Source organism: Homo sapiens, chromosome 22, assembly GCF_000001405.40.
Source record: "Homo sapiens chromosome 22, GRCh38.p14 Primary Assembly".
Taxonomy (NCBI): domain Eukaryota; kingdom Metazoa; phylum Chordata; class Mammalia; order Primates; family Hominidae; genus Homo; species Homo sapiens.
Genome location: NC_000022.11, coordinates 16,420,365 through 16,428,705, shown reverse-complemented (window position 1 = coordinate 16,428,705; position 8,341 = coordinate 16,420,365). Strand labels below are relative to the sequence as shown.

The 8,341-nt window shown below is 38.7% G+C and overlaps 1 pseudogene; it reads right to left on the bottom strand.

The window, feature by feature from the left end:
- PABPC1P9 (poly(A) binding protein cytoplasmic 1 pseudogene 9) lies at positions 2,236-4,176 on the bottom strand (annotated as a pseudogene).

Below are 8,341 nucleotides of genomic sequence, written 5' to 3'. Positions count from 1 at the left end.
CCCTAGGAAAGTTTAAAGTAATCCCTCAGGCTGAATTTGATATCATAATACAAACTGAGCTTAATATAAAATTAAACAAACTTAATGGCAGAAAGAAAAACTTTGAATATTGAACTTGGTAAGATAGCCTAAGTTTCCATATAGGAGGAGTAGAACTCCCCATGATGTCCAGTAATTCAGTTAAAAAGATCACTACAAAAAGAAAAAAAAAAGGAGTAAAACACATCAACTTTAAATGGGTTAACTGAATAGATTTTAAATTCTGGTCTTGGTGACTACCTGAATAAATAATATGTTAAGTAATAGAACCAAGTTAGTCTTTCCTTATTTCTGCCATGCCCTTAAAATGAAAGTCTGGTTTAGCAGTTTTTAGATGAAACACTATCTATATTTTTATTTCTAGAAATAAAATTAAATCACAAATGGAAGTAAACTATATTTTTTTCAATTAGTATTTTAAAATCTAGGCATAAAAGGCAGACTCCAAAAATGAAAGATTTGGAGACTACTGTCATGTGGCAGTTTCTTCTCCTTAGTAATATAGAATTACTTTTTAATTCTGGCTGATTAAATCTGCCATGTTTATGTAGAACCCATCACAAGCAAAGTGAGTTTTAATTAACTTCAAGACTCTTTATTTTAAAGTTATAAGAGTCATATAAACACTTCTAAAATGGCCTTATTGAATGGCATTTTAGAAATTGTTTAGACTTCTTTGGCAAAAGCTCAATGCAAGGACTGAATATTACTCTCATTCCTCTTTTTCCTCTTCTCCACAAGCAAGATATTAAAATACCACAGAATATGAAATTTACACATAAATTTGCCAAGTGAAGCAATTAAAATTTAAGGCAATCAAAACTATGTGTTATTCCTATTAAGACTAAGGGCTTTTACAGAATATATCACCGAAACTGCCAAACGTTCTAAAACCATCTGGGAAAAAACTCTTAGAAAATACACTCTGGGAGAATAACTCTGGGAAAAGATAAAATAGCTCCTGTTTTAGTGACATTTTCTCTTTATAGTTTTACAACAAAGTACAGACTCCATTTTCAAATATTGTAATTCTAGTACTCAAATTCTAAAAATTTAAACTGTGCCAGTGTTTTGACTACTATTTAAATCATGAGGACATCTCATTGTCACTTATAAAAAAATAAAAATATAGGCAGGTTGTTGTGGCTCATGCCTGTAATCCCAGCACTTTGAGAGGCCAATGCGTGCAGATCACGAGGTCAGGAGTTCGAGACCAACCTGACCAACATAGTGAAACCCCGTCTCTACTAAAAATACAAAAATTGTCAGGTGTGGTGGCACGCACCTGTAATCCCAGCTACTCAGAAGGCTGAGGCAGGAGAATTGCTTGAACCCAGGAGGCAGAAGTTGCAGTGAGCTGAGATCACACCACTGCACTCCAGCCTGGGAGACAGAGCAAGACTCTGCCTCAAAAAAAAAAAAAATAAAATATATGTATATATATATATATATATATATTTATTTACAAGATAGTATTTTACATTCACAAGAGTATTAGATTTCAAAGTAGAAAGTTTATTTTAATAAAAGAGAGATAAGAAATAATTTTCAAAATGAGGAATTGTGTTTTTGATTAGGAGGAAAATTGTTGTACCTATTCTTTTTATTCTTTATTTATTGAACTTTCTCTAAGTGTCTGTGATATATGTTTATTATACTGAAATAGTCGCCATTTTAAGGTAGTGTGGCAGATGTTGTTATTTATTTGAAATTATAAGTTTTTATTTATAAAAAGTTTTTATAAAAATTTATTAATATAATTTAAAAATTACAACCAGTTAACCATGTGTATGATATTAGTGTTTATAGTATTTAAACAAATAAGGCTGAGCACAGTGGCTCACACCATCCCAGTACTTTGGGAAGCCAAGGAGGGTGGATCAGAAGGTCAGGAGAAGGAGACCATCCTGGCTAACATGGTGAAAACCTGTCTCGACTAAAAATACAAAAAACTAGACAGGCATGGTGGCAGGTGCCTGTAGTCCCGGCTACTCGGGAGGCTGAGGCAGGAGAATCACTTGAACCTGGGAGGCAGAGGTTGCAGTGAGCCAAGATCACACCACTGCACTCCAGCCTGGGTGACAGAGCGAAACTCCATCTCAAAAAAATAAAATAAAATAAAATAAAATAAAATAACAAATAAATACAAGATTGTTGCTTCTTATAAATTTTTTTTGTATCTTTGCCTATTTTTTTCACTGTTTAAGGAATTTTTATTAAAGCAAAATTTTATAATCCAAATTACCTTTCCTTGCTCAGTTATCAATTCTGTTACTTAAAACAGAAGTGACATTCTTAGCTATTCCACACTAATGAATTACAAAATTAAAGGAATGCTTTAAATTTTTATACTTTGCTGAAAATTATTTATCACAGAGTCTGAAAAGCATTACAGTGTTTTTATATTTTATTATTTTGGGAGGATTTTTTCTTTTCAAATCAATAAGTAATCTAGGACTATCATTGCATTTGTTAGATCTGACATTTGCTTGGTATGTAAAGTTCAAAGTTTCCTTTTTAAATTTATTTTATACTTTACAAATTTTTTCCATAGTATTTAAGGTTTTTGATATTGAGATATTTTTCTTCAGTGATGCTCAAGTTTCTTTCTGTGGTCCCTGATCAGTTTTAAACAATTGGAACACCAGTGGCACCATTAACTGCTTTCTGGGCAGCCTCTTTAGCTTGGTGGTCTTGTAGTACAGCTATACCTTTGTCAACCTTAGTATAGAGAGGCTCTGGAGATTCAAGCATATGAAGGAGTTCTAAATTACCAATCTGCAACAACTTGCCAATGATTTTACCAGCACGACTAGGGCATGGCTTGAAGAAGAGGAAACAGCCATTCACTCATTTCCTTTTGCTTTTGAGGAGGAGCAGATGCCATCATGGAAGTCAAAGGTTCTTGACCTTCTACATGAACAGCAGGCTGCTGCATGGTAATCTGGGGCTGTGCATGAAAATGCCATTGAGGATTGTGAGCTTCCATAGCATATTTATACTGTGAAATGGTACAAACAGCAGGAGTATCTGTAGTAGCCATAGCGGCAACTGCAGGATGTGCTCCTATTTTCTGTGTCGATGTGTTACAACAGCTGTGTTGACATGATTTGTGGAAGCTGTGAAGAAGCTGTTCTCTTACTACTAAATGTAGTGAGCTAGGAGTGGCTTAGACATATTTTTCAATGGATGAGGTCTGGCACCCTGAGCAATTTAGGGAGGATTTGATCTTAGTTGAGCAGTTTGGCTAGGAGAATACTTTGCAGCATGGCTCTCACTCTGTGGGATAACTGCCATGAAGTCAATTGAAGAAGGTGCTGGCTGATAGGGACTGATTCCCAGGTTGAGCATAGTTTTTACACTTGCCATTCTTTGCACATACTGTACTGGTTAATGAGCTGAGCCTGGTGCTCTTCATTGCTTTTCTTCCCATGGAGTTAACACTATATATATACAATGGCTCAGTGCCCACAATTCTACCATTCATTTCTGAAAGTGCTTTAGTTGCTTCCTCTGGAGAGGAGAAACATACACAAATCAAACCCTTTGTTATGACAACCATCCTTCATAACCTTTGCATTGGTGATTGTACCAAGTGGAGAAAGTTCTTTCCAGAGACATTCATCAATACCATCAAGATTTTTTGCATAAATGTTAACACTTTGTTATCTGATGATCCTATACTGCTTGATCTTTTCAAATTTGCACACAAGTTCCATCTGCCATTCTACTTCTTTCTGAGCTTGACCAACATCAATTTACTTTCCATTGAGCTTCTTTTGTTCATCTCATCTGCGCATCTTTATGCCTTTCAAAGCTGACAAATCCAAAACCTCTGGGTTTTCCACTTTCATTAACCACTACTATCACACTTAAGACAGATCCCAACTTGCCAAAGGATCTTTAAGGCACCTACCATCCATGTCTTCTCCAAAAATCTTCCTGTAAACATTGGTGAACTTTTTAGCTCTGAGTTCTGCTTCTCATTGTTTACAAGACTTAATCCAACAGACTTTGCTATCATTTAGAAGCATCCATTTCATTTTTGAATAGATCTTTCAGCTGCTTCTGTGTCTCAAAATGTACAATGCCATCACCTTTGAAACCGTTTTCACCACAGAGCACCTAATGTGAAAGTGATAGAGACAGGAGGCAGCCAAGGGTCCCCTGGTAAAACCCCACCTTCAAGACTAAAACAGCCTGAAGGCTGATAAACTGGACTGCAGGTCCTGGTTGGAGCCGCCCTTTCCTCACTGATTCTGAATAATGCCCACCTGCGCACTGGGATTACGGGGTGGAGCCTCGGGAAGTTTGTGCAGTGTGCAGTGGAGAGGAGTCTGGCCTGTTCCCATGTAGTGACCTAGGATTTAATCTATGAGGCGGGAAACCCGCTAGCAGGACTCTTTCTCTCTTTGCTGAGAGTTATTTTTCCTTTTTCCTTTCCACCCAATAAACTCCATTTCCCCTCACCCTTCAAGTGTTTGCGTGCCTTTTCCTGGTGGTGTGACAAGAACCTGGTTTTTTCTGCAACAAAAAGATGTTACCAGAAGCAGATGTATCATGCAATGCTTTATAATCAATAGATTTGTCCAATTTTTTTAATGAACATGTTGCCCACTCCATTTTTGCGGAGTGATGGATCACACCGAGACCACTTAGTGTGTATTGGCTAGTCTTTTATAACATCAAAATTCATGGGGTCTTAAGCACATTCCACATCCTGCGTTTCCCAAGGAGCGCCGGTGATGTGGTTCCTGTAGCCCGGGATAGAGAAGACTGGCCAGCAGGCCTGGTCACGTGCGGTGCGAGGACAGAGGATGGCTGGGACGCTGGGCTCACCTCTGCACCTGTCTGCCGGTAGGGCCACAGGCTGCGACCTTTCCGTGAAAGGAGAGTAAGGGCTGGGGCGGAAGCCTTGGCCAGCGCAGAGAGACAAAATCACCTGGAATCCAAAACTACTCCACGGCCGAGGAACTGCTGCCCGCAGCGGGCTGGGATGAGGGTGGCGGTGTAGGGTCCAGCATCCAGGCCTCGGGATCCTGTTCCTTCTTGAAGCTGCTTCGGAGCTGCGAGGGGGCGGGTGGGTCACTCTCGGCTGCCTCACCGGGTAATCTTATATAAGAAGAAAAGGAAAATGTCTCTGGTAGTGAAGACAAGGATTTTTTTGTAAAGTGTTTTGCAGGGGTGACGGGTGTTAAAACAGAAACCTTTTTTTTTTTTTAAGTTTTTTTCATGGGATTTTTTTCAGGGGAATGTATTTTTCAAGATAATACATATGTGCTGATCCTGGAGAGCACACTCCACACTCTCAGCGCTAACTGCTTGGGAGAAGGGATCCATTAATGTTTAATTGTACCTTCTCTTGTGGCCCCGTTTTTTCCCTTTTAATTATGAAACATTGGAGCCTACAGAAAGGTAGAAAAAATGGGCACCCACATAACCACCACCTAAATCCAATTAATTGTTAATATTTTGTCAAGTTTTCTTTATGTAATTTTTCAATTTGAATTAAAAGTAAATTATAGGCATCATGCTAATTTGCCTCTGTACACTTAAGCCTGCATATTCAAAAACTAAAGCCATTTTCTTGCATAACCACAATTCCCTTATCCTTTCACACCAAGTTATCAGTAATTCCTTACAATTATTCAACTCCCAAATATTTTCAAATATAAACAGTCATGCCCCAAGTAACACATTTCAGTCAACTAGTCGACCATCTACACTGTGGTGGTCTCATAAGATTAAACTGGAACATATATAGAAACTTGATAAACAGTATATGGCCCTTGATATTGGCATTGCCAATATCAAGTAGAGGAAATGACTGATGCTCAGCAGTGGTGCTGTAACATTTAATTTTCCTTATAAAAAATAAATAAGTGAAAATATATAGGGCTGGATGTAGTGGTTCATGCCTGTAATCCCAGTGCTTTGGGAGGCCAAGGTGGGCAGATCATCTGAGGTCAGGAGTTTGAGACCAGCCTGGCCAACATGGTGAAACCCCGTCTCTACTGAAAATATAATTAGCCTGGTGCAGTGGCAGGTGCCTGTAATCCCAGCTACTCAGGAGGCTGAGGCACGAGAATTGCTTGAACCTGGGAGGCTGAGGTTGCAGTGAGCTGAGATCGCACCAGCACTCCAGGCTGGGTGACATAGTGAGACTCTGTCTCAAAAATATACGTATATATACCATCTAGGTTTGCATAATTACACCCTATGATTCACATTTTCTTAATTGTTTCCCAATTATAGCAATTTTTAAAAGCCAGGATCCAATCGAGAACTGGACACTACATTTTGTTTTTGTCTCTTATTTTGTAATCCAGCACATTTCTCCATACTTAATCCCTTGCTAAATGGCATAGACTTTTTTTTTTTTTTTGAGACGGAGTCTTGCTTTGTCACCGGGCTGGAGTGCAGTGGCGTGATCTTGGCTCACTGCAACCTCTGCCTCCTGGGTTCAAGAGATACTCTTGCCTCACCCTCCTGAGTAGCTGGGATTACAGGTGCCTGCCACCACGGCCGGATAATTTTTTGTATTTTTACTAGAGACAGGGTTTCACCATGTTAGCCAGGATGGTCTCGATCTCCTGACCTCATGATCCACCCTCCTCAGCCTCCCAAAGTGCTGGGATTACAGGTGCGAGCCACCGTGCCCAGTCGGTATTGACACTTTAAAGGAACCATGCTAGTTATCACGTAGAATATCTCACATTCTGGATTTGTGGGACTGTTCATGGTTTCATTTAGTTTGTTTGTCTATCCCCTCAATTTTCTGAAATTTGAAGTTAAATTTAAAGACTTGGTTACATTCAGGTTAAACTTTTTTGGCCAGAATTATTCAAAGGTGATGTCGTATACTTCCAATAGCGGCACATTACGAAGTTTATGTCTGGTTGTCCCACTGCCAGTGATGCTAATTTTCATTCCTAAATTAAGGTGGTGATTGCCAGATGTCTATATCGTAATGGTATGATTTCCTCTGTAATTAGCCAGTGATCTCTGAGGTTATACCTTGGTACTACATGAATATTCATTCTTCATCAAATTTCTCAAAATTAGTAGACTTTGTTTTTTAGAGCAATTTTAGGTTTACAGAAACCAATGAGCAGAAAGTACACAGAGTTCCCATGTAACACTACCTTCCTATCCCACTCTCCACCCAATCCCTACCTCTGTACACAATTTACCCTATTATTAACACCATGTATTAATGTGGTATATTGGTTACAATTGATACATATTGATACATTACTATAACTGAAGTCCATAGTTTACATTAGCATTCACTCTTTGTGTTGTAAAGTTCTGTGAATTTTGACAACTGTATAATGACAGATATCCACCAGTATCATACAGAATAGTTTCATCACCATAAAAATCCTCCGTGTTCCACCTATGTATCCCTCTCTTACTTTCCTCAAATTGCTGAAAACCACTGATGTTTCTACATTATAGTATTGCCTTTTCCAGATTGTCATACACTTAGAACCATACAATATATTACCTTCTCATGCTGGCTTCTTTTACTTAGCAATATGCATTTAAGTCTTCTCCATGTCTTTTCTTAGCTTAATATCTGATTTCTTTTTAGTGCTGTATAATATTCCCTTGTATGGATGTATCACAGTTTGCGTAGCCATTAACCTACTGAAGGATATCTTGGTTGCTTCCAAGTTTTGGCAGTTATGAATACAACTGTTATAAACAGCCATGCGCAGGTTTTTAAGGTTTTAACAAACTCTTTCTGGCAGCTTCTGTTTTTCCTCACTTTTCAAGCCCATGGGCTATCTCCCAGTGCTGGTCGTTTTAATATTCTGCAGAGTACTTAAGCATTACAGAATATAGAAGCTGGAAGATACTTGGCAGTCATTTAGTCCCTCATGTTCTAGATGAGAAAACTGAAGCCCAGATACCTTATTATTTGTGCAGTCCCCCAATCTGAGTGTCAAATCCACCTCTCCCAGTTGTTTTCTGTTCAAATAACCCTGTGAACTTCAGTGACCCTCACTGACCACATCATCATTATTCACCAATAGTTCCCCAATAGATCCGCTCTACATTAGCTCATTTCAAATGTTCTTTTCCTTTCACGCACATACCATACAGTACTTAAAATTCTGTTGACAACAATCAATATGAATTCAAATTAAGTTCTTGCCCCAAGGATGTGACTTCTACTACACAGTTTCTTTTGGCCTGAGGGCAATTCCTAGGGCATGAACTTAGTCATGTGCCCTCAACAGACAGCACTCTAAGGAAGCTGGGGAATGAGGGTCTCCATTCTGCAGGGAGGCCT